Source organism: Homo sapiens, chromosome 1 (assembly GCF_000001405.40).
Source record: "Homo sapiens chromosome 1, GRCh38.p14 Primary Assembly".
NCBI classification, from domain to species: domain Eukaryota; kingdom Metazoa; phylum Chordata; class Mammalia; order Primates; family Hominidae; genus Homo; species Homo sapiens.
The window spans coordinates 40,677,902-40,704,003 of record NC_000001.11 but is presented as its reverse complement, the minus strand read 5'-3'; the positions used below and the strand labels follow the sequence as shown (position 1 = coordinate 40,704,003).

The 26,102-nt window shown below is 43.6% G+C and overlaps 2 protein-coding genes and 1 long non-coding RNA gene across 12 annotated transcripts in view, besides 4 other annotated features; 2 read left to right on the top strand and 1 right to left on the bottom strand.

The window, feature by feature from the left end:
* Positions 1–12,300, bottom strand: part of NFYC (nuclear transcription factor Y subunit gamma) — a 79,900-nt gene extending 67,600 nt beyond the window's left edge. For 7 of the 9 annotated variants that reach the window (XM_017001365.3, NM_001142588.2, XM_006710661.3 and 4 more), the window contains exon 1: positions 12,137–12,300. The gene's annotated coding sequence lies outside the window, so the exon portion shown is untranslated. Of the gene's footprint in view, positions 1–8,258; positions 8,399–11,803; positions 11,997–12,136 lie in introns of those variants that run through there. The other 2 variants (NM_001142590.2, XM_047421368.1) reach the window with 2 other exon arrangements.
* Positions 4,729–4,778: an enhancer, noted in NCBI's record as "active region_852". NCBI's record gives its function as "activates an Ori minimal core promoter by ATAC-STARR-seq in GM12878 lymphoblastoid cells {active_cell/tissue: GM12878}" and the evidence as "EXISTENCE:reporter gene assay evidence [ECO:0000049][PMID:35858748]".
* Positions 11,313–11,362: an enhancer, noted in NCBI's record as "active region_851". NCBI's record gives its function as "activates an Ori minimal core promoter by ATAC-STARR-seq in GM12878 lymphoblastoid cells {active_cell/tissue: GM12878}" and the evidence as "EXISTENCE:reporter gene assay evidence [ECO:0000049][PMID:35858748]".
* Positions 11,383–11,552: an enhancer, noted in NCBI's record as "active region_850". NCBI's record gives its function as "activates an Ori minimal core promoter by ATAC-STARR-seq in GM12878 lymphoblastoid cells {active_cell/tissue: GM12878}" and the evidence as "EXISTENCE:reporter gene assay evidence [ECO:0000049][PMID:35858748]".
* Positions 11,743–14,924, top strand: NFYC-AS1 (NFYC antisense RNA 1). The gene has a single exon (NR_024567.1). It is a non-coding gene; the product is annotated as an NFYC antisense RNA 1 (long non-coding RNA).
* Positions 11,793–11,892: a silencer, noted in NCBI's record as "silent region_732". NCBI's record gives its function as "represses an Ori minimal core promoter by ATAC-STARR-seq in GM12878 lymphoblastoid cells {active_cell/tissue: GM12878}" and the evidence as "EXISTENCE:reporter gene assay evidence [ECO:0000049][PMID:35858748]".
* Positions 11,938–26,102, top strand: part of RIMS3 (regulating synaptic membrane exocytosis 3) — a 71,387-nt gene continuing 57,222 nt past the window's right edge. The window contains exons 1-2 of one of the 2 annotated variants that reach the window (XM_047435184.1): positions 11,938–12,048; positions 22,454–22,509. The gene's annotated coding sequence lies outside the window, so the exon portion shown is untranslated. The remainder of the gene's footprint in view (positions 12,049–22,453; positions 22,510–26,102) is intronic. The other variant, XM_047435189.1, reaches the window with a different exon arrangement.

Genomic DNA, 26,102 nt, shown 5'->3' with positions numbered 1-26,102 from the left:
GAGAATTTTGCTCTTGGTTGGGAGAATGATTTCTGAATCATAGCTACCTGCTTACTAGCTGCATATTGGCCAAGATACTTAACCATTTCTGAGCTCACTTCCTCCTGTGTAAAATGGAGGCAATAACACCAACTAACAGGAGTGTTGAGGCTTAAATAAGTGAAAGCACTCAACATATTATCTGGAATGTGGTAGGTGCCCAATTAATATCTAAATATACACTTGATTATACAGCAGGTACACATAACTATTTTTTAACATGCCTCTATTACCAAAGAAGGGCTTCTTGAAGGCAGCAAGTGTCTTTATTTTTATCTACATATATCCCCAAAGCATAAAGATATAAATCAAATCCGATTTTAGCCACAGTGTCAGTGAAATAACGGAGTAGCAGGGATTGAGGAAAACTGGCAAGTGTGTGACTCATCTAAAGGAGTGACCACTACACAGCTCCAACTGAAGAGGGCCATGTAGGAAATGTGGTTAACTGCAATAAGAGCTTCATATTCTTTTTTTTTTTTTTAGGGCTAATTGCCCAGGCTGGAGTACAGTGGCATGATCACAGCTCACTGCAGCCTTGACCTCCTGGGCTCAAGTGATCCTCCTGCCTCAGCCTTCTGAATAACTAGGAGCACAGGCATGCGCTACCACACCCAGCTAATTTTTAATTTTTTTTTGTAGAGACAGGGTCTCCCCATATTGCCCAGGCTGGTTTCAAACTCCTGGGCTCAAGTGATCCTCCCACCTCAACCTCCCAAGATGCTGGGATTGTATGTGTGAGCCACTGCACCCAGCCCAGATTCTTTAAGAAGTAAAAGACAGACTGTTTTAATGTCAAATCTTTCTATTTTAAGTTTCGGTTCAAGTTTTAAAAAAAACAAAACATAGGCCAGGCGTGGTGGCTCATGCCTGTAATCCCAACACTTTGGGAGGCCGAGGTGGGTGGATCACCTGAGGTCAGGAGTTCAAGACCAGCCTGGCCAACATGGGGAAACCCCGTCTCCACTAAAAATACAAAAAGTAGCTGGGCGTGCTGGTACATGCCTGTAATCCCAGCTACTCGGGAGGCTGGGGCAGCAGAATCGCTTGAACCTGGGAGGTGGAGGATGCAGTGAGCCGAGATCATGCCACTGCACTCCGGCCTGGGCAACAGAGTGAGACTCCATCTCAAAAAACATTATAAGCAAATCAAAGAAAATTGAGGACTGCCAGATTATAATTTCTGACCCATTATCTCTCACCCAACTTGGTCTTGAACAACTAGTAGCTATTTCTCAAATCCAATCCACCTTCAAGGTTTAACAAACAAACAAAAATATGTTCACACATCTTCAAAATAATCTGATAGAAGTTCTGAAGATAGGCCGGGTGCGGTGGTTCACACCTGTAATCCCAGCACTTTGGGAGGCCGAGGCAGGTAGATCACGAGGTCAGGGGATCCAGATCATCCTGGCTAACATGGTGAAACCCCACCACTACTAAAAATACAAAAAATTAGCTAGATTTGGTGGCACACACCTGTAGTCCCAGCTACTCGGGAGGCTGAGGCAGGAGAATCGCTTAAACCTGGTAGGCGGAGGTTACAGTGAGCCAAGATCACGCCACTGCACTCCAGCCTGGGTGACAAAGAGAGACTCCCTCTCGAAAAAAAAAAAAAAAAAAGTTCTGAAGATAATCCCCAAAAAAGGCCCAGAAACATTCTGAGCAATGACCACGTCATTAGAATAAAGGAACATTGCACTGGTGCTCAGTAAATGGTTATCAGTGAATGAAGGAATGAAATAAACTAATAAATGGACCTTAAGGAGATGACAAATTCTGAATTATTTGTTTTTTGAAAATAAGTTATATTCTCCAAAGCATAAATTAAGACCAATAGATGGGAAATTATTCTGCAAAGACTCGCTTCAGCTCTCAGAGCTGTCCAAAGATGACACAACTTTCCTCAGAAGCTATGGATGGGGTTGTTAGGCACGGGCTGTTTGAACACTTGACAGGGATGTGTAAAGGCAACATGAGAGAGAGCAGTCATGTGCAGCAGCAAGAAAAAAAGCCCAATCTTTACAGCTAAACAGATTTAGATTTTAATCCCTCCTCACCACTTTTTAGGTGAGTGACCTCGTGCTAGTTATTCAACTCCATCGAGGCCAGTTTCCTGCACTAAAACATCTTGCAAGGTTTTAGGGCTTAGGAAAATTTCATTTGTTCAATAAATACTTAAATTATAAGCATAGCCATTGTACTAAATAAGCTCTGGGGATTCTAAACAAGACACAGTTCCTGTCCTTAAAGAGATTAAAGTCTACTGTAACAAACAGGAAAGTTAAAATAGGCAATCATGATGCTGTACATTAAGAGTTACAACACATGCAAATGCAAAATGCTATGGGAGGACATAAGCATAGCACCTAACCCAGGGCTTACGTAAGTTTTAGGCTGGTCAGAGAAAGCTTCTTAGGAGAATTAAAATCCTAAGAATAAAAACCAAGATAGACAAAGTGAACTGCATGTGCAAAGGCCTGAAGCTGACAGAAAGTATTACATTCCTGTTTGGTATAGCAGCAGCCCAGAAGCAAGAAGCTAGAAGTAGAGTTAGAAAGGTAGGCCGGGCGCAGTGGCTCATGCCTTTAATCCCAGCACTTTGGGAGGCCAACTGAAGTCAGGAGTTTGAGACCAGCCTGGCCAACGTGGTGAAACCCCATCTCTACTAAAATACAAAAATTAGCCAGGCATGGTGGCAGGCACCTGTAATCCCAGCTACTCAGGAGGCTGAGGCAGGAGAATCCCTTGGAGGCAGGAGAATCCCTTGTACCCAGGAGGCAGAGGTTGCAGTGAGCCAAGATTGCACCAATGCACTCCAGCCTGGGTGACAGGGCGAGACTCTCTCTCAAAAAAAAGAAAGGTATACAGGGTTGGACAAAGCTAATATACTAAAACTTTATTCTAAGGACAATGATAAGGAACTAATGCGTCTTAAACATTGGACTGGCACAATCAGTCCCACGTTTAAAGTGTAATTCTGATTTTCCCAGCCCCATGTTTAAGACTGTTTAGTTCCTTACCATTGGGTACAGTGTGGAGAATAAGCTGGAGAAGGGGACACAGTGGGAGGATGGCAGCACTCTAGACCACTAACGTGGAAAACAGGATGCTAAAGTTATCTGGTGACTGGATGCAGTAGTGAAGACACTGAGTTCAAGACCAGCCTGGACAACAAAGCAAATAATTCAGAATTTGTCATCTCCTTAACGTCCATTTATTAGTTTATTAAAAATTAAAAAATAAAACAAATTTTTTTGAATTCAAGACCAGCCTTGAACCTCATAGAGTGAGACTCCATCTCAAAAAATAAAAAATAAGCCAGGTACGGTAGCTTACACCTGTAATCCCAACACTCTGGGAGGCCAAGGTGGGAGGATCACTTGAACTGAAGAATTTGGGACTAGCCTGGACAACATAGCAAGACCTCCTCACTACTAACAATAAAAAAATTAGCTGGGCAGGCATGGTACTACATCCCTGTAGTCCCAGCTACTCAGGAAGCTGAGGCAAGAGGATGACTTGAACCCAGAAGTTTGAGGTTGCATTGAGCTATGATCACACCACCTCACTCCAGCGTGGGCAAGAAAGTGAGACCCCATCTCAAAAAAATTAATTAAAGTAAAATAAAAAATAAAGAAGATTCAAAAATCACTAAGACCCAGTGGTTAATAAGGCATGTAGAATAACAACACTGTGCTTGATAAAAAGCATGTACTCAAAAAATGGTACCTGCTACTATTATTATTGTTATTGGGCATTGGATTAGATGACCTTTGAAATCACATTCATCCTTAAGAGTCTACGTTACCTTGAAGATGTATCTTGTTCTCAGAAAAGTCCTTTCCCACGATTACCAAGCTATCTTATACAAAATGATTCATTTTTTTATTCATAGACTACACCAGAACTGCTCAACTGGGCTCCACTACACACCAGTCATAGCATGAAACGTTTATTAGGTGTTCTCACAAACAGCGGTCCATGACCAAGTAAGTCTGAGTAACACCGCGTAATGTATCTTCCCTCTTGAAGGGTCATAGGCAAATAAGCACCAAGGCTCTGAATAATAATTCTGCAGTAAAGAAAGGCATTTCACTTTGGCCATTTTTTGTCAAGGATCCTCTTTTTATCCCCAAAGGACACTGATTAGCACTACACAGAACTAATGTTCAGTGGAAGAGCTTGGGAAATGCTACTCTAAACCAACTTACAAATTTTAGTGGAGTGAAAAGACTATAGGCAACTGTATTCTGATAACCTTCCAAAATGGTTAGAGTTTTACACACATTATGGCGTTTTCCTTTCTAACTTAGTACTACTGAAAATGACATTAAATACCACCATAAATAGCAATCCTTTGCCTCCTAAGTGATTGCCAACCAAGCATTCTTGGCTTCTTAAAAGGCCCCAACTTCGTCATTTCATAATGAGCAAATTCTATGCTACTTACTTTCAGGGTACAGTAATAATTTTTAAAACAGTTTAAAATGACAAGGATGTCAACTGTGCAGATAATGTGTACTTTATTAGCCCCTTCTCTCTTCTCTTTTAAAAGGAACAGATCATGCCAGTGTCAAAGGGATATATCTTCTTAACACTGGGCAAAGAATCTCAACTTCATAGAGATTACTGGACAGTTTACAGCTCTGGAGGCCAAGGGCAACAGTAATTTGGGATTGTGAAAACCTTCAGTACTTCAGATTTAAGCCAATGACATGATACAAAATATTCTATACTCTAACATCATTTCCTATGAGTCATCTCATTCCTTTTTTGGTTTTGTTTTGTTTTTTTTTGGAGACAGTCTCACCCTGTCGTCAAGGCTGGAGTGCAATAGAGGCGCGATCTCGGCTCACTGCAACCTCTGCCTCCCGGATTCAAGCGATTCTCCTGCCTCAGCCTCCCGAGTAGCTGGGGTTACAGAGGCCCACCACCACGCCCAGCTAATTTTTTGTATCTTTAGTAGAGATGGGATTTCACCATGTTGGCCAGGCTGGTCTTAAACTCCTGACCTCATGATCTGCCCGCCTCAGCCTCCCAAAGTGCTGGGATTACAGGTGTGAGCCACGGCGCCCGGCCCATCTCATTCCTCTTATTAAAACACTTTGAAACACTGCTCAAGATCACTATTTATGGTTCATACTCATGAATGTATTTAAGAATAGGACAATTATTGAATCTTATTAAGAATATACAATTGACTTTAACACTTGAACCCGGGAGGCAAAGGATATACTATTGGCTTTAAATGAAGGGTATTCAGGCTGGGCGCAGTGGAGGCTGAGGCAGGCAGATCACCTGAGGTCAGCAGTTCGTGACCAGCCTGGCCAACAAGATGAGACCCTGTCTCTACAAAATATACAAAAATTAGCCAGGTGTGGTGGCACGCACCTGTAGTCCCAAGCTACTCAGGAGGCTGAGGCAGGAGAATCGTCTGAACCCAAAAGGCAGAGGTTGCAGTGAGCCGAGGTCATGTCACTGCACTCCAGCCTGGGCGACAGAGCAAGACTCCAGCAAATAAATAAATGAATGAATGGCATTCATTTAAATAGGACACCTTATATATAGTACCTTGAACGTGAATTTTTTTTTTTTTTTCAAAGAGGGAATCCCGTTCTGTCACCCAGGCTGGAGTGCAGGGGCATGATCTCAGCTCACTGCAGCCTCCGCCTCTGGGTTCGAGCGATTCTCCTGCCTCAGCCTCCTGAGTAGCTGGGACTACAGGTGCCTGCCACCATGCCTGGCTAATTTTTGTATTTTTAGTAGAAACGGAGTTTCACCATATTGGCCAGGCTGGTCACAAACTCTTGACTTCAGGTGATCTGCCAGCCTCGTCCTCCCAAAGTGCTGGGATTACAGGCGTGAGCCACTGTGCCTGACCAGACATGGATATTTCAACCTTTATTTTAAACGTATTCTACTGGAAACATTCAAATGCAAAGATTAGACTCTAGTTCCACTCTTTAAACTACAAGTTTATACAATAGAAAGCTCTCATGAAGTACTGGATGTAGAAGTAATCTATCTGGAGATCTGAAAATAACAAAATGGAAAATACAACTCCAATACTGAAAATGAGTACAGGTGCTGTCTCACTGCTATCAGGTACATCACTGCTAACACATGGAGAAGTGTGGGAAGGGTGCAACAATTCCTGCAACCTAGCAAAATTTTCTGCAGGCAGAGAGATTTTTCCTGAACCATTCCACAATACTGTCTAACTGCTTACTTCAAAGAAAACGTTACTCAAGTGACTACAAATCACACAAACCAAACCAACGGTCCTACTTCAACTGATAATTTGTACAGTTAGAAAAATTTTAAATGACTATAATGGAAATCTCTCCTTCTGGTCAGAATGAAAACACCAGTTGTTCCGAATTTAATCATCATTGCTATTTGTCAAATATGAAGAAGTTTTCATCGCATCGCAATCATTACCACTCAACACTTGGGGATGAACAAAAGAGATCAGGAAACAATCTTTCCCTGAAACAAATGATCCTACTACTTTGTGCATTCAAAAGTAAGACTGACCTCACACTGGTCCACTGAAAATCAGCTCCTAAACCACAACAGCACAACTAAATTAGGTTACTTCATGTCAAGTGGTTGCTCTCCCATTTGGAAATCTTACTGTATATTGCAGAGCAGACAATTACAAAAGGCCTCACCCCTCCTCATCAAGGAAGCTGTAACGGGCTGAAAGGACAGATTTCATGCTGTTCCAAAATGAAAATGTGTTCTCCCACTTATTAAGGTCCACTAAGTGATAGGCATCTACCACACGCTATTATATTCATTTCTCATAATTACCCTACAGGTAGGTATTATTGTCGTTATTTTACAGAAGAAGAAACAAGTTAAGAACCTGCTCCAGCACAGAGGGTAAATGCACTGCAGAGACAGAACTCTTCCCTTGGTCTGACTCCAATCAGCAACTAATACTGTCCTCTCCCATAGGCACTTTTTGGCCAAAGTTTTAAAAATCCATTTCCTCCTGCAATTAATCTACTTACATTATATTGAGTGCTTTGAGTCTCTGCAGGAAAACACTAAAATGACCTTGTAGCCTTCCTAAACTGTGACAGTGCATGCATGAAAAACTGAATAAACAAAATGAAAAGAAAGACTGTAAGACATCAGATAACTCACAACCAGTTTCCTCTGAGAACAAGAAACAGAATGGAAAAGAACAACTTACTGGCAAAGGAATATTCTTCCTGGTTGTATGCCTGAGGCCAGGATTGACCTTAAGAAGGTCATTTGTGACCCTAGTAATGTCCTCTGCCATTCTCATTCCGGTGAATGAAGTAAACCTGTCACTTAAAGTCATCTCTGCCATCAAGTCAATGCGTCCACAGGAGAGGCAATGCTATCCAGTGGAATGAGCACCTATCTGGAAATCCAGTGATCTGGGCAAGATTTGGCTCTGCCCTTGCATAGCCAAGTGACCCTGTCAAGGTCATCTCACTCTTTTGGAGCCTCAGTACAAAGGACACGCCTGAAAGAACTGAAGTTCGCTTCCTGAGCTAAGAAGCCAGGACTTTTTTTCTTTTCCCATAACATTCTATGGTGTCAACACAGTGTTTAAGAGTAAGGGCTTCATTTACATAAGAATTAAGAATTACAAATCTGTGGCTGAGCACTGTGGCTAACACCTGTAATCCCACCACTTCAGGAGGCCGAAGAGGGCGGATCACGAGGTCAGGAGTTTGAGACCAGCCTGGCCAACACAGTGAAACCCCGTCTCTACTAAAAATACAAAAAATTAGCCAGGCATGGTGGCGGGCGTCTATAATCCCAGCTACTCAGGAGGCTGAGGCAAGAGAATCGCTTGAACCTGGGAGGCAGAGGTTGCAGTGAGCCAAGATCGCGCCATTGCACTCCAGTCTGGGGAAACAGTGCGAGACTCTATCTCAAAAAAAAAAAAAAAACAGAATTACAAATCCGTGTCTGAATCTGGGCTCTGCTACTTACTGGCTGTGAGAACTTAAGCAAATTACTTTTCAGTTTCCTCACACGTAAAAATGAGGGTGGCTATATTATCTACCTCATAGTGTATGAGAATAAATATACATAATACATTTATATCCCAGCTGGTACAATGTAAGCAAGCACTCAATAAAAGTAGTAACTATATTATCCCTGTGTTTGATTCACAGATCCTAGTGGCTCAGTACTTTTGAACTAAAAGATATAAATTTCAAAATTACCTCAAAAAGACACCCAGCATAGCCTGGCTGGGCACGGTGGCTCACGCCTATAATCCCAGCACTTTGGGAGGCCGAGGTGGGTGGATCACCTGAGGTCAGGAGTTGAAGACCAGCCTGGCTAACATGGTGGAAGCCCGTGTCTACTAAAAATACAAAAATTAGCTGGGTGTTGTGGTGCACACCTGTAATCCCAGCTACTCGGGAGGCTGAGGCAGGAGAATCGCTTGAACCCGGGAGACAGAGGTTGCAGTAAGCCAAGATCACACCACTGCAACTCCAGCCTGAGTGACAGAGTAAAACTCTCAAAAAACAAAACAAAACAAAACCCAAAACAAGACTCCCAGCATAGCTCCATAGCACAGAATGGGTTTAGCCCATATATGTTTACAATTCTGTGGTATGAATCCTCATTTCGCTTTGCCTTCATTTCTCTGAAAATAAAAGGGGATAAAAATGCCTTGTAAAATCTTCTCTAGTACAGTTTTGGGATTTTTATTTATTTTTTGGGAGACTGAGTCTCGCTGTGTTGCCCAGACTGGAGGGCAGTGACACAATCTCAGCTCACTGCAACCTCTACCTCCCGGGTTCCAGCAATTCTCCTGCCTCAGTCTTCCGAGTAGCTGGGATTACAGGCGCCCACCACCATGCCAGGCTAATTTTTGTAATTTTGTTTCATCATGTGTGCGAGGCTGGTCTCAAACTCCTGACTTCAAATACCACCTGCCTCAGCCTCCCAAAACGCTGGGATTAGAGGCGTGAGCCACTGCGCCCAGTCTCTAGTAGTTCTGACCAAAGAAAAAAATGTGTAAGTATAAATGAGATAACAGATTTGTCATAAGAATTAAATAAGATGCCATGAACACAGCCTATAAAGTATAAATCTTAGTATGATTTCTGCCTGAAGAAAAAGCTGAGGTTCACAAGTTTTCAACATAAACTCAGATCTACTGAGATTTCCTGAGAGTTCAAGATTTCTAGAGTGGTCAATTCCAGATCTTAACAAGGTGGCCATGGGTATAAGGGGCTAACATGGAATGAAGGTGGTCACCAATGTTGAAGGGCAGGTTGCTCCAGAAATGCCTGCTGAAAAAAAAAAGGTGTACATATACACTCATTTTTATCACCTTGTCTAGTCTTACTAAAAACGAAACTAAGTTATAGATCTACAGCATTCTTCATATTTGGTTAACTTGATGACTGAGCCAAATGAGGCTGAAATGACCAATGTACAAAATACATGGCAAACCCTATTTTCACTTGTAGCTTTGCCTCTATCTTCCACAGTGAAACGTTATTGTAAACAAAAATGAGGGAGGGCTTCACCTAAGCACATCAAGACATAAAGCAATTAAGATTTCCAACTCACTGGTCTCCTCTCAAACCCTGATTTAAAGGTTTCCATGCAAAATTGGAACTGCAAATATTTTGTCCTATCCAGTCTTAATTTTACACATTGTTCAGGATAAGCATATCCTAGAATCAATATCCCACAGTCTGAAGAAAGCACTAGGCCTTTGAATAGGTCCTGGTATTTGGGGACACCCTAAGGAACTGGTGATGCTTGAAAAACCTCTCCAGTGAGCTCTTTACACTAGGCACTTGGTAGTTCCTCGCCATTTGGCATAAATTACCTCCACATACAGAAAGACTATCTGCAATATTCTGAAGCTTGGTTTTAAGGAATGCAGATTCTTCAAGTTTCTGTACATATTTTTCCCCATTATCTACCTGGATTCAGGAAAAAATGCAGCAATTTACTTGGTAAATCTTCCCTTTCACAATAGAAGCCAAGGGATATGATTTGAATACCTAGCTGAAGAACCCATATTCTCTATGGTTACAATTCTGTGGTCTGAATCCTTAAGCAGCACAAGAAATTCTTAAGAATTATAGTCTTCCATTTTATACACTCTAAACACCCAGAAATCAAAGTAGATGATCCACTTGGAAATACAAAATTATCTGGAAGTTTCATTAGTCAGGTTTATGTTGATAGCTGATGTAGCAGATAAAATTACAGGCTTTGGCATCAGGCAACCAGGGTTTGAATTCTAGCTCAACCACTTACTGAGTGACACCAGACAAGCTACTTAAACTCTCTGATCCTCAGTTTCCTCATCTGCAATATGGGGACGATAATGCCTACCTATTGGAGTTAAAATATGCCCCAAAATAGCAATTCTCTTCCTCTGCTACTTATCAATTCCCTTCTCCAGAAAATGTAGTTGCATTCACATAAAACTAAATTTGAAAACCCTAGGAGTTTCTTGAAATTGGTATGAAAACAGAAGAGTACCATCTAAAGCTAAAAAGGACTACCTAACAAAAACAAGGAAAAACAAATTAGGAAAACACAGATGTTTAACATAAATGTGTTTCCATGGCCCTCACACACTGGGACGAGCAAATGTAAAGCAATACAAGTAACTACGATTCAGATTCAGTGGAAAAGAACATATTCCCAACAAGTTGACTGGAACGACTCTGGATTGGAATAAAAACTTTTTGAATATGAACCAGAAAGTGTTGACAAGTCCTGTTCCTTAAGAAGCTATGCATGGGCTTTTTTTTGGTTTGGAGCTGCTTATTTGAAAAAACAAACAAAAAATTCAAAGTACACATGGGAATGGGTATACTTTTTAGGCACATATACAAGGAAATAAACCAAGACCGAAAATTTCTGGCTAGCTCCCTTTCCCTTAAAGGGGAACCTAACAATATTTACTCAACAAATAACTACCAACTACCTAATATTTGCTAATGTGGCTTTGGAAACTCAGCCATGACCTGTATCCTTCCTAGAGCAGCAAATTTCATATACAACATCTCAAAACTACTTGTATGGTCCTGAGACTCAATAATGTATAACTGTTCTATTAATACACTTCCCAAGTCCGAAAATGTCCCCTAAAATGCTTCCTATATCAGATTTTGTCACTTTAAATCTGATACTACTTAATGCTGTGCTTCCTAGGCTCGGACAGAGCACACTTCTCAATAGCATTCCTCTCTCGGTTTACTTGCTCCTCACATCACATCCCAGGTCCGTTGACTCTGGACTCCAGGGCTCCACCAAAACCTCAGTGTTTGAATGCTTGCACTCTCCAGCAAAATCCCTGATCCGATTCTACCGTTCAGCTATGCCCCTAGCCCTGATGCCTTTCTTCCTACACCATACACTCACACCGTGGACTTCAGGGCCACTTCCAAACTGGGTCACATTAGCAACCCTGGATCTCGAAGACTCTCAGCCTGTCACTTGGGTTTCGGTGTTTCCAAGCCTGGAACCCTGAGGGCCTGCACACCCCAATCTTGGGCCATGCATGTACCAGGAAAAGCACCTCTGAAAGTGAGTGTCCCCCATTCCCAGGCCATGGCCTAAGCTACCCCCAAAGTACCTGCCAGGCCATCACCCTCTCTTCCCCCTTAAAGCCTCTAGGCTCGCCCTCTCGCCGCAACCCCACGCCTGCGCCGCAGGGGGTCATTGCCCCAGCCGCCCTAGCCCAAGACGCGCGCATCCCCGCAGCCTCAGATTCCTTCATCACCCCCTAGACCGGAGCTGGCGCGTCCAATAAGGTGCCAGGTCCGCGGCCTCCCCGCCACCGACCAATCACGAGCGAGCCCCCCCGCCGTCGCCTTCCGCCAATGGGAGAAAGCCCGCGGGCCGGGCCGACGAGGCACACGGACCCCACGAGCGCGGCGGCGGCGACAGCAGCGGGCCAGGCAAGAGCACAACATGGCGGCGGGCAGGACGGACCGAGCTACAGCAGCGGCCGCGCGAGGAAGTGAGGTCTCTGGCGAAGGCGGGAAGCGCTGCCCCTCCCCCCGCCGCCGCTTCCCTATCACCCTCGCACAGAAACTCCCGCACACTCACACACCTCTGCTCAGGAGTCCAGGAAGAGCAGGAGCCGCCCCCGCGCTCCTACGGAGTCGGGCAATGCAGAGGCCCAGGCGCGGCGGAGGGGAGGGGGAAGTGTGCGTCACGGAGAACGGAGCGCGCGCGAAGCGGGGGCACAAGCAAGATGGCGGCCACGCCGTTTGCACCGTTTCCCCTTTTCCCTTCCCCCTCCCTTGGCGCCTGGACTCCCAGTATCGTGCGGTGCGCAGAAGCTGTGCTCCTTGAGGTCTCGCGAGAATTGGGAAGGGGCGACGACAGAGGGAGGCGGAATGAGATCTGAGAGTTTTAACCCCGCCCCCTTTCGGGAGCTCGAGATCTGAGTTTTGACCCCGCCCCCTTTCGGGGGATCCGGAGGCGCTGCCCAGTGACCTCCACCACCCTGCCTATCCTTGTGGATCTCCTTGGTGCGAGCTTGAATTTTAGGAAATAAGTAGGTGTGTGCGCGTGCCCTTGAGTTTTAGGAACTAAGTAGGGGCGTGTGTGTGTATTTGTGTTTTTAATTTGGGGAGAAAGAACTGGGGGATGAAGGTCGACATGGCGTTCCAGATTAAGCATGCCGTTCAAGTAGACAGCTACTGGCACCTTAAATTCATAAAAGAGCATTTAGCACCAAACTGTAAAGTGATGTCCTCTAGAATAAAGAACAGTACTTACCAAGAATAGTTAGCTTGTAACCTTACGTCGACATAGTTGTTCTTATTTGAATGCAGATTTTAAAGTTTTATCACGCAGTTGGAAACCACAGCTACTATGAGCATGGATTTTTTCATACTTATCTCTTTCATTTCCGTGACCACTTGGTCCAAAGGCATCAGGATTGTATCCATTTTACAAATGATAAAACTGAAGCTCAAAAAGGTTAAGTAACTTGATCTAAGTCCCCACAGCTAGTAAGTGTCAAAACCCCATCCGAATAACTTCAAAACCTGTAGGTATAGTCATCAAATGTGTCTTGAATGGAATTACCTACAGTGAGAGTTAGTGCATTAGGTAACAAGCGCAGAGAGGAATGACTGCCTCTGCTGATGGTAACCTTGAATTTTACAAATGACACTGGAGCCTTTCTGAGACTAGTGTTGCATGGGTCCTCAATAAAATCACACTGTTGTTACTCACTTCCTTTGGGTTTATAACCCTGGTGATAAAGTAATTGAGAATAGTGGAGTAAACCCTCGACTTGAATTCAGGAAAATTGTTTTCAAATCCAGTTTCAATAAATCTCACATCAGGCACTCTATTTGATGAATGAATGAACAAAACCTAACTATAAGACACTTGACTTCAGGGAGTCTCAATTCCTTCATCTGTAAAAAGATCTAATTCCTAACTTTTGGTAATGTTGGGGAGAGTGAATGAAATAATGTGAGAGTGCTTCGTAAATTGCAAAAGTGTTATAAAGAAGTTACTGGTAAGAGCTACGAGTGTCTCGCTGCACTCTAGCATGGGCGACAGTGCGAGGCCCTGTCTCAGAAAAAAAAAAAGTTACTTATAATGACATTTTCAGACATGAGAAATGGCATAAAATTAAAAACAGATTCAAGAGAATAGTATGTTGAGATTGTAGAGACAGATGTAGCTAATGGAAAAAAGCTAAATAAGTCTCTCTACAGATGTTTATTGAGTACTTATTGCATATACTATGCTTGCCAAAAAATGTAAAAGTGTACATTTAGTTACAATGAAGCAGCACAAGTTATTATTAGTGATTATTGTTATAATTAAGTATTGATCACACTTAGGGGCTGCAGTCTATTTCCTTCCAAGAGCCTGGAAGTTGGGTTGCCCTCAGAAATAAATAAAAATCTACATAGAGGAAATTAGCTAAGAGTGATATTAAGTATATTTAACAACAAGTAGTGCTCAAGCATAGATGAAGCAGAATTAGAAATGCAGCTAGGATCCTGGAGGTATACGTCTGTGCTAGGTGTTAACCCTTCAGTTGCTGGTTTGTGAATAGGAGGTCCCAAGGGATCCCAGGGGAAGGGAGTGGTCAGGAGGTTTGGGACAGCAGCTATTTACCAGGTAGTACTAGAGTATTTCAGTATTTTAATAGTCAATGTTATAACTGATAACAGTCAATTGATACATATAAGCCTAATATTAGTCCTTGCTATAGTCTTTATTATCAATAGCCTCCGCCCTTCCCTTTCTAAAGCCGTTGCTATCTGGCCTGTCCCTAGGAGATTAGGGTGAAAGACTTCTCACCCTAATGTCGTCAAGCTTGGCCTTGTTTTGACCAATGAAATATGAGTAGAAATGGCATGAACCGGCCGGGCACGGTGGCTCACACCTGTAATCCCAGCACTTTGGGAGGCCGAGGTGGGTGGATGACGAGGTCAGGAGTTCAAGACCAGCCTGGCCAAGATGGTGAAGCCCTGTCTCTACTAAAAATAAAAAAATTAGCCAGGTGTGGTGGCAGGCACCTGCAATCCCAGCTACTCGGGAGGCTGAGGCAGGAGAATTGCTTTAACCAGGGAGTTGGAGGTTGCAGTGAGCAAATATCACGCCACTGCACTCCAGCCTGGGCGACAGAGTGAGACTCTGTCTCAAAAAAAGAAAGAAAGAAATGGCATGAACCACTTCTGAGCAGAAATTTATGAGCTATCTTACAATTTTGCCATATTATCTTTCCTCTGACACAAGAGCAGCATGTCCTAAATAGAGCTCCCTCTTCAGCTTTGGTCCCAGAATGAAGATGTGCAGAGCGACAGCTGACACACATAACCTGTAATGTTGTGTGAACAATAAATAAACCTTTGTTGTAAGCCACTGAGATTGTTTTCGTTGTTACTGCAGCATAACATGCTAGCTAAGCAGACTAATACAACCATGAAATTAGCTATCCATGGGGGTAAGCCAAGACCTTTTTTACAAACATGACCAAACAAAACAAAACAAACTCTGATAAAGGGCATATGGGAGGAACCTGAAGAAGGTAGATATTGTAATTTAATAAATGGAACCTAATCAATCTCGTCAGCCATTCTGTACCCTGTTTGGAGAGAGATTCTGTGAACAAAAGGGCTTGCTCAGCCATGGCAGCCCAAAACAAGGCAGTCACAAAGGCTAGCACTACCATTGCCCCTCTAAGCCTCATCTCAATTAAGCCACACTGAGCATTAGGATTTCCTTGCCCGTGTCATCTCTGTAGTGGATGGGAATATCTCAGACTGCCTCAGCTAAGAAATACTTCTTAAGATCAACATGCTTTCCTCTATGTTCACCCAGCAAGTGTCTTGGCGATAGGGACAGAATTAAGTGATCTGCCACCTAGAGTATTCTAGTTCTTTTGATCATTGTATTTTTCATTGTAACTAATCAGTTAGATTCCTCTTTATATAAAAGTTTCTGTGAGCTTGGCAAATACAAGACACCCCCTACCCCCAGGAAATGGTTCAACTTTCTGCTTACTATTAAAATTAGGTTTCTGAGTTTGCAAGGTTAAACATCAGTTCTTGTATCATGGTAAATTCCTTAAGGTTATAGCACTGTATAACAGAACCTGTCTAGACAGCCAGCTGGACTTCCTTAAGCCACACCTCTCTATCTCATTGTGTACCTTTGGCCTAAAAGAAAAGCAGCGCTGGCCAGGCGTGGTGGCTCACACCTGTAATTCCAGCACTTTGGGAGGCTGAGGCGGGCAGATCACGAGGTCAGGAGTTCGAGACCAGCCTGATCAACATGGTAAAACCCCGTCTCTACTGAAAATACAAAAATTAGCCGGGCATGGTGGCACACGCCTGTAATCCCAGCTACTCAGGAGGCTGAGGCAGGAGAATCACTTGAACCTGGGAGGCAGAGGTTGCAATGAGCCGAGATCGCACCATTGCACTCTAGCCTAGGTGACAGAGCGAGACTCTGTCTCAAAAAATAGAAAAGCGGCACTAAAAGATATAGTTCATGTGCTGCTGGAGTTCAAAAAGGGAAAGCTTACTTCCACTTAGTATGAAATAGTGGGAGGAGTTCAGGAAAGATTTGCAAGGATGTGACATTTGAACTGGGTCTTGAAAAATGAGTAAAATTAGGGAAGACATGTAGGCAGCCACTAAAGCAAATAGAAGAAGCGAGGGATCAGTTGAGGAAACACAGAGTAAGAGGGAATGGAAGAAGAATCATGGAAAGATACATTATTATGGTTAAATTAAGGCTCTTGGGCTTTATTTTCTGATACGGGAAGTGAGTGGTAGAAGTTTTTTGTTTTGCTTTTAAACAGGTTTAACCATTTTTTTTTTTTTTTTTTTTTAGGAGATGGAGTTTTGCTCTTGTTGCCGGGGCTGCAGTGCAATGGTGCAATCTCGGTTCACTGCGACCTCCGCCTCTCGGGTTCAAGCGATTCTCCTTTCTCAGCCTACCGAGTAGCTGGGATTACAGGCGCGTGCCACCAGGCCCGGCTAATTTTTGTGTTTTTAGTAGAGACGGGGTTTCATTATGTTGATCAGGCTGGTCTGGAACTCCTGACCTCAGGTGATCCACCTGCCTTGGCCTCCCAAAGTGCTGGGATTACAGACGTGAGCCACCGCCCCTGGCCTAAATTTAACCATCTTTAAGTATACATTTCAGTGACATTAAGCCTGTTCACGTTGTGCATCCATCAGCAGAATTTGTCATTATCCCATACTGAAATTCTGTATACGTTAAACGCTTACGCCCTATTCTCTTTTCCCCAGCCTCTGGTAACCACCATTCTACTTTCACCTTTTGGCCACTGTGAATGATGCTTCTGTGGACATTAGTATACAAATATCTGTTGGAGTCCCTGCTTTCAATTATTGGGGGTATATACCCAGAAGTGAAATTGCTGGATTATATGGCAATTCTTATGTTTAATTTTTTTTTTTTTTTGAGGAGCCACCATACTGTTTTCCATAGCATCATACCATTTTACATTCCCAATGGTAGAAGGTTTTACAGAAGATAGTGACATGATCAAAACTATGATTAAAAGCAATCTGGAAAAGAGAGTAAGATGGAGTAGAGTGGCAGAATGACCATGTGGAGACTTCCACAATGGTTTAGGCAAGATATAATGAGGGCGAGGGCCTGAACACATCATCAGCAATGAGAATGGAGGAAAGAGGATACAAATGCTGAGGTGATATTGCCAAGGAAAGATTGTAAGGACTTGACCATTGACTGGCGATTGAGGGGTTAGGGAACAAGAAAATTAAGGGTTTTTTTTGTTTTTGTTTTTGAGACGGAGTCTCATTCTGTCACCCAGGCTGGAGTGCAGTGGCGCAATCTCAGCTCACTGCAAACTCCGCCTCCCGGGTTCACGCCATTCTCCTGCCGCAGCCTCCCGAGTATGTGGGACTACAGGCACCAGCGACCATGCTCGGCTAATTTTTTTGTATTTTTTTAGTAGAAACGGTGGGTTTCACCGTGTTAGCCAGGAAGGTCTCGATCTCCTGACCTCATGATCCACCCACCTCAGCCTCCCAAAGTGCTGGGATTACAGGCGTGAGCCACTGTGCCCGGCCAAATTAAGGTGTTTAATATGACTCCCATGTGTCACACCTGGGAGGATGGTAGTCTTCAGATGAAGAGTCAGGGTATGGAGAAGTCATGAGTTCAAGTTTGGATATATAGAGTTCGAATTACAAGTGGCACATTGTAAGCTGTGGGGTGGACATTTGTTGTCTTGCCTGCTGAATACCCCTTGCCCTTTCAACTGGTAATGGCACTCTACTTTTTTTCTTTTGAGACAGAGTTTCGCTCTTGTCACCCAGGCTGGAGTGTAGTGGTGTGATCTCAGCTCACTGCAACCTCTGCCTCCCAGGTTCGAGCTATTCTCCTGCCTTAGCCTCCCAAGTAGCTGGGATTACAGGTGCCCACCACCACACCCAGCTAATTTTTTGTATTTTTAGTAAAGACGGGGTTTCACCATGTTGGCCAAGCTGGTCTTGAACTCCTGACCTCAGGTGATCTGCCCCCCTGCCTCAGCCTCCCGTAGTGCTGAGATTATAGGCGTAAGCCACTGCGTCCAGCCTACTTTTTTTTTTTTTCTTTAAAGGTTGTAGAATTTATCCTTCTTCATCTATGTATTGGCTAGGCTGGGAGGGTGTGTGGCCATGAGAATGTGCTTCTCAGATCTCTGACTGAGGAAATTGTAATTTACCAGCAGTCCAGCTGCTGAGTTCTGAAATCCATCCTGAGCTTTGAAATCCATTGCCCTTTACTCCGAGGTCTTACTTCCCATACGCTGCTCATAGCCAATAACTGAGCCCAACGGGGATTTTAGGACAGGACTGTTCCTGGGATAAGTGATACTCTTCCGATGGGTGACTTTGACTCAAGGACTCCTCAATGGCCTTGCCAAACTTTCCTTAGAACTTCATTGCAGTCTGAGACACTTCCACCTTGAACACCTTCCCTCTGTCCTTCACTCAGGGTCAGGCCTGCGTCACTGTGCGATGGCTCTCTCAGTCTTCCCCTTCCATTTCCTCTCATAATAAATTTTTTTATTTATTATATATTAATATATATTATATTATATAATATATATATAATATAATTATATTATATATTAATAATTATATATATTAATATATATAATATATATATTAATAAATTATGTTTTTCATAATAAATTTATTGCATTTTATTCTGTCTTGGCGTTTGATTTCCTGAGACTCTGAACTAACATGAAGGGAAAGAGGACAGGATGCATCCTACCATAGCACATCTTCTGTACCCCATTAGCCACAGGAGTAGGAACATGACCCAGTCTGACCAATCAGCGATCTCCCACATCTTGGCCCAGTACCTCCTCATAGCCTCTCAGGGTAATTTGGCTCCCAGACAATTAGCCACTTGGTCCACCTCAACAACAGACATAGCTGACCAAATCTAAGCGAGGTCTCACAGTTCTGTTGCTTGAGGCCATCAAGTTACAAACATGGAGTCTATGGCTTCTCCTGCAACTTCCAGACCCTGATGAAACACCACCTCACAGAGCGTGGGATTTGGCTTCCTGAGCAGCTGCTGAAGGAGCCAGTGAAGCAACCTACTACAGAGGATTTAGCTACCCACAGAGCAAACTGATCAATGGGAGACAGGAAGGAGCTGGCTATAACAATCCACTCTTCCCTTCCTTCCTCTAATGAGCTGTTTCAAGATAAAATTTCTCCATACAACCTGTCTAGAGAGACATTCTCCATGGCCAAGTGGGTGCGCCTGTCAAGAGACTAGCTACAGCTCATTGTGAAGTAGCCAGCAAACATTTCCTTCCCTTGCTTCTCATGTTTTCCCACTTTCTCTTATCCTTAATTCTCACTACTCCATGGCTGTGCCCCTCATATAAAGCTTTAGCACTTAATCCCTTCTTCCGGCTTTGTTTTCTAGGAAACCTTGCTAAAACAGATCACAGTTTTTGAAGAGATGGGCACATCACCCAAACTAAGCTAAGAAAAGCCCTTCTAAAGATTTGAAATATATAAGAAAGACAGGATTTTTCTTCTGGAGATCTTGAGCTATGAGGAACTGAGGGCAGCCATTATTCTTGCTTCATGGAAAGAGCCTTTCTAAGAATGAAGACATCACAGAGGAAGGCAGAATTCAGACAGAGAGGGAGACAGAGTCCTGACATCCTTTGAACACCTAGATCCAACTTTCCCCAATATGTGTAACCATTTTGTCATTGCTTTATCATTCTGAAGACCAGTTTTCCCAATCCATGTCATATAAAACATGGTAACCAATTAGTCCCAAGTTGCCTCCATTCAAAAAATCATCCAGGTGACTAGATTCTTAGGCTCAATTTCAAATTTCTGGGAGGAAGAGCTCTTGTTAGAGCTAGCTTTGGCCAAATGTCCACCACTGAATCAAGTATCATTATGGAAAGGGGGACAGGGTCATGCATAAACATGGTTGTATCTACTGTAACTCTATGAATGAAGGTATGCTGGAGGGTAGAGGATAGAGTAACACTTCTCAGAAAAGTAGGAGTAAAGGATTAGGCAGACTAAACAATGTCTGTCCACTTCCTGAGAATAAATAAAGGAAAAGAGGGTAAAGAGGTCAGAGGACAGAACCTTTATCTAACCAACACTATCCAACAGAGCTTTCTGCAGTGGTAGAAATGCTTTATATCTGTGCTGTTCAATACAGTAGCCACTAGCCACGTGTAGCTGTTGAGCATTTGAAAGATGGTTAGTGCAACCAAGAAATTGAATTTTTCATTTTGTTTACATTGAAATAGCTACAGGTAGTATCTTAGTTTTCTGCTGCTATAACAAAATACCAAAGACTGGGTAATTTATAAACAAAGGAAATGTATTTGGGTTGTGGTTCTGGAGGCTGGAAAGCCCAAGAGCATGGCACCAGCATTTGCTCGACATCTGGTGAGGGCCTTCTTGCCACACCATAACGTGGCAGAAGATATCACATGGTGAGGAAGTGTGCATGTGAGAGAGGGAGGGGGGCCAAACGTATCCTTTTATCTGGAGTCCACTCCCTCCATAACTAACCCATTCCCATGCATTAATCCATTTATGAGGGCAGAGCCCTCGTGACCTCATCACCTCTTAAGTGTTCCACTTCTCAACGTTGTTAAAATAGCAATTAAATTTCAACTTGAGTTTTGGAGGGACATTCAAACCATAGCATGTAGCGAATGACTGCATATTAGACAGCATAGGTCTAGACTATTGGTCTACTTTGGGAAGCAGCATGGAATATTGTCTGCAGCATGTGCTTTGAAGTTAGCCTGAGTTCGAGTCCCCATTCCATTTACTTAACCTCTCTGAGCTAGAGAGGTGAAAGATGCAAAGAAAGTTGTATGTAATACCACAAAGAGAGAAAGAGACAAAAGATCTGCAAAAGTTCAGCCAGGCACAGTGACTCATGCCTTTGGGAGGCCAAGGCAGGCAGATCATGAGGTCAGGAGTTCAAGACCAGCCTGGCCAACATGGTGAAACCCTATCTCTACTAAAAATACAAAAATTAGCTGGGTGTGATGGTAGGTGCTTGTAGGCCCAGCTACTCGGGAGGCTGAGGCAGGAGAATCGCTTGAACCCGGGAGGCAGAGGTTGCAGTGAGCCGAGATCACACCACTGCACTCCAGCCTGGTTGACAGAGCAAGATTCCATCTCAAAAAAAAAAAAAAAAAGATCTGCAAAGGGTCAAAGAATCAGCTGGATTTGGCAATTAAGGGACTATGAGTGAATTAAGACAGAGAAGTATTAAAAGTGTGATTGTTTAAAATCCAAACCAGCTATCCATCTACCTTTTGTACATCTGCTAAATTCCTTTCCTCTGGAGGGGGACTCCAGGCAGGGAGAGAATGGGAATGCAAAAGTTACCTCGTCTCTTAATCCTCTTGGTCACATGGGGAGCGAGAACTCAAAAGTGTGTCCTGAAGATGGGGTTCCAAGCCAAAAAAAAAATCAGAACCATGGTCAGTCACGGGGTGTGAAGCCAAAGGTGGGGTTGCCTAGTCCAAGGAAGCCACAAGGAAAGAACACCTCAAATACATACCCTCTTTACATAGCACTTACACTGTGGCTAGACTGTAAGTCCTTTAAGGTTCAGGGCTAAGTGTATGATGGTACTATCAGCCCCTGGTAAGTGCCTGGTACCATAATAGGTACTTAATTAACAATAGGTACCTAAACAACAACATTGAATGAATGAATGAATGAATGAAAGTAAGCCAGTCCACTCTCTAGTGCATGGTAGACATTCCATAATATAATGTTCATTAAGTTATTAGAGGGAGGCCAGGCATGGTGGCTCATGCCTGTAATCCCAGTACTTCAGGAGGCCAAGGCAGGCAGATCACCTGAGGTCAGGAGTTCAAGGCCAGCATGGCCAACATGGTGAAACTCCATCTCAACTAAAAATACAAAAATTAGCTGGGTGGGGTGGTGGGCACCTGTAATTCCAGCTACTTGGGAGGCGGAGGCAGGAAAATCACTTGAACCTGGAAGGTGGAGGGTGCAGTGAGCCAAGATGGCACCACTGCACTCCAGTCGGAGTGACAAGAGCAAAACTCAGTCTCAAATAAATAATAAAATAAAAAGTTATTAGAGGGAGAAAACCCTGTATTGAGAAGCTACCAGGGAATCTTTTTTGACCTGGAAACTCTGTTTGTCAGGTCCTTGCCTGGCACAGAGGAATTCTTCAACAAGTGATCTCTATGATAATTATTATTAAATAGGGAGTAAGGTTTTGTATATGGCCTGGGGAAGGCCTTGATAATAATAAGAGCTAAAATGTGTTGATCTCATTTAATCCTTAAACCAACTCAATGAGACAGGTTTTATTAGATTAATTTTACAGGTGATAATTTTTTTTTCAGATGAGAAAATTTAAAGAAGACGTGTAATTTCTCCAAAGTCGCCCAGCTCAGAAATGGTAGGACTGGTATTGAACCTAAGCTTAACGCAACTCCAGAGTCCAGGCTCCAACAGAGGTTTGGGAGCCAGGGAGCAGAAGGAGGCTCAAGAGAGGGGCTTAAGGAAAGCAGTTCTGGGGTCAAAATCCACTTCTGATTTCTATTCAATCACATCAGTTTCGATGCCTTCTCTTCTTCCTTCCACACTCACTACTTGCCTTCTTGCCAAGCTTCTCATCCCTTCTACTGAGCTCACCTCTACACCCCTGTTCAGCTTCCTGTCCCATTCAGCCATATCTACTCTGGTTTGACTCAAGGAAGCAGGAGTTGAAATAGGGCCAAAGGAGGAAGTTTTTATTTGTTGGTTTGTTTTTGGTTTTAAGATACAGACTCTAGAGCAAGTGAGTAAATGAAATATTCCAGTAGACAGAAGGAAATAGACAATGCAAACAAGAGAGTATCTGCAGAGGTTAAGTTCTTGGGACCCTGAGCACAGGTCAGGGGAGAGGTTGGCCTCTGATAGGAGCTGGCACACTGTGGCTTTCCCTCAGAGTAAAGGAAGACAGAATATGGGTAAAGAAGCAGAAAAGTTAGTAAAGGTTAGGATGCTTACAATCAAGAGTTATGTTTTACAGCAATTGATAATGGCATGGTATAATATGGACAATGTGTTTCAAATATGATTGCAGGTCATAAATAATTAATAGATCATGAAATTATTTAGAAGTTTGTAACTAGCTTTTATTTTTAAAATGGAATGGAATTGAAAATTTGAATTAATTGCACATAGCAAGGGTACTGTGAAAATTACTATGAAACTTTTTTTGTTTCAATCATATACACATAGACATGTGTACTGGCTACAGTGTAAAATCTGTTTATCTGCTGGGCATGGTGGCTCATGCCTGTAATCCCAACACTTTAGGAGGCCGAGGCGGGCAGATCACTTGAGGCCAGGAGTTCAAGACCATCCTGGCCAACATGGAGAAACTCCATGTCTACTCAAAATACAAAAATTAGCCGGGTATGGTGGCAGACACCTGTAATTCTAGCTACTTGGGAGGCTGAGGTACAAGAATCACTTGAACCCAGAAGGCGGAGGTTGCAGTGAGCCAAGATTGCACTACCACACTCCAGCCTGGGCGACAGAATGAGACTCTGTCTTAAAAAAAAAAAAAAAAAAACTATTTACTCTTGAGAGTACAGTAAAAAATATTTAAAAGCCACTATCTAGGATGTGACAATGGGAAAGAACTTTCTTTCTCTTCCAGAGTTTTCCATGATGCTTGTAAATTGGTCTCGCATGGTTTTGCTTTCTTGTTGTTGTTCTTGTTTTTTGTTTTTGTTGTTGGTTTTTTGTTTTGTTTTGTTTTTGTTTGTTTTATGAGACAGGGTCTCACTATGTTGCCCAGGCGAGTCTCAAAACTCCTGGGCTCAAGTGATCCTCCACCCTCAGCCTTCCAAAGTGCAGGGATTACAGGCCTGAGCCACTGCTCCTGGCTCCAGTTTTGCTTTCTGATAGATAATAGATACCCAGAGGAGTATAAGCCCAATCAACTGTGCTGGAGCTCTAAGCAGTGGCTACAGCATGTAAGTTACATATGTGCCAAAAAAAAAAAAAAAATTCTAGTCATCCAGGCTACTCTTTCTTCTTGGTTTTCATTCCCCTTATTGTCCCAATAGGATTGTCAACAGCTCCCAGGGCCTGCATGTTTTCTTAATTGTGATTAGTAAGTAAGAGGGAGTCCATGTGCCCGCCTTCCCAGCAAAAATCCTGAGATTCATTCTGATTGGACTGGCTGAGTTCACATGACCACTCTGACCCATCATTCTGGCCAGTGGATTGAGTCCCCTGATTTGGCTCAGCCCTGCTCTACCCAAGGAAGTTACCTTCCTGAAAATACATGAATCCTGGAAAGGAAATCAGGGCCTATTGTTAAATAGAAAGGGAAAAATGGAGAAATAAAGCAGATGACGAGTGCAAATACTATTGAATGTTTCAACTAATGTCCAATACATATGGCCTTTAAGGTACCCACATTAGCTGAAAGGTTCAATAGTATTTGCACTAGTCATTTGCCTATTTGCTTTGAGCTCCACTCTATCTTTCCCACTCTGGACCCTGAAAACTACATTCCCCAGACACTTCTTGCCAGCTGGCTTCCTGTCATATTTGGTCAATGGGAAGTACAGGTGGGAAATTGTGTGCCTGGGGAGGGGATGGTGGGAGGAGAGGTGAAGCCATTGTTCTCTCTGCTTCTGCTGGAGGCTCTGGCAGCAGCTGGTAGTTATGGGCTTGGAGACCTTCAGCCTTTCCAGCAGTGGTGGTAGTGGGTTCCTTGCCAGGCTCCAGCAGTGTTGGTGGTATGGAGGGGCAGCAGTTGGGTAGCTGCAGGCCCCAGTGACCTCTGGCAGTTCTGTTAGCATAATTGCAAAAGCAGTGCTTCAGTAGTGTTAGCAACAAGTGCACTTTGGGGTCTAGCGACACTTTCCCTTTTGATTCTCCAGGTCTTGGAGTGTTAGAACTTCTTGCATCTATTAATCTCTAGTCTACCCAACTTTACCAGCTTTGCTCCTTCAGGCTTTCTAACAGATTTCTAACCAGTTCTCTGACACCAATTCCCTCTGTTTGAAATTCCAATCACTTGTTTTCTTGTCTTCACCCAGACTGACACAGCGTTCCTCTGGCCATCAGATGAGCTAACTGCAATTACTAACTTCCCAGCTGTGCATCTACAGTTGTTGTGCTGGGTGGTACCATAAGAGCTGCCCGCTAAGCTTTCAGCTGAGGCACTGGGCAAGGGGTGAGCGCCGACTCTGGAGCAAGCACAGGGAAAGCTGCTACTCCCTTCTGCTTCCTCACCTGTCCCCAGCTATTAGAACTGTGTTATGGAGAGCTTACTGCTTGCCTCCCAAGATAACTTGACTCCATGTTGTGGCTGAGAGGGATGGGCTCTGGAATGACCAGGTGGGAATGCAGCAATGAGCACAGTTGGCAAGGAGGCCCAAAACAGAGGGGCCGGGGAAGGATGTCCTTGCTGCAGAGTAGAGTTTAGGGAGGGAGGAGAGAAAGAGACTATTACCTTCCTTTTTTTGTTTGTTTGTTTGAGATGGAGTCTCACTCTGTCACCCAGGATGGAGCACAGTGGTGCAATCTCAGCTCACCGCAACCTCCACCTACCAGGTTCAAGCGATTTTCCTGCCTCAGCCTCCCAGGTAGCTGGGATTACAGGCGTGCGCCACTACACCAAGCTAATTTTTGTATTTTTAGTAGAGACGGGGTTTCACCATGTGGGCCAGGACAGTCTTGAACTCCTGACCTCAAGTGATCCACCCGCCTTGGCCTCCCAAAGTGCTGGGATTACAGGCATAAGCCACCGCACCTGGCCCTGCTTCCTTTTTTTTAGAGATACTGAGGGAGGGATAGACTGATGGTTCTCAACCTTTTCTGTCTTCTGCCAAGTGTTCCATAAGAAAAACAAGAAAACAGTGTTTTCCAACAGAATTTATTCTTGCCATTACCCAAGGAACAGTATTGAAAACATTACATCCAACCTAGCTTACTTCTGTGACCTCCTGGTGCTTCGCAAGCCACTGTGGGACAGCTAAGTCT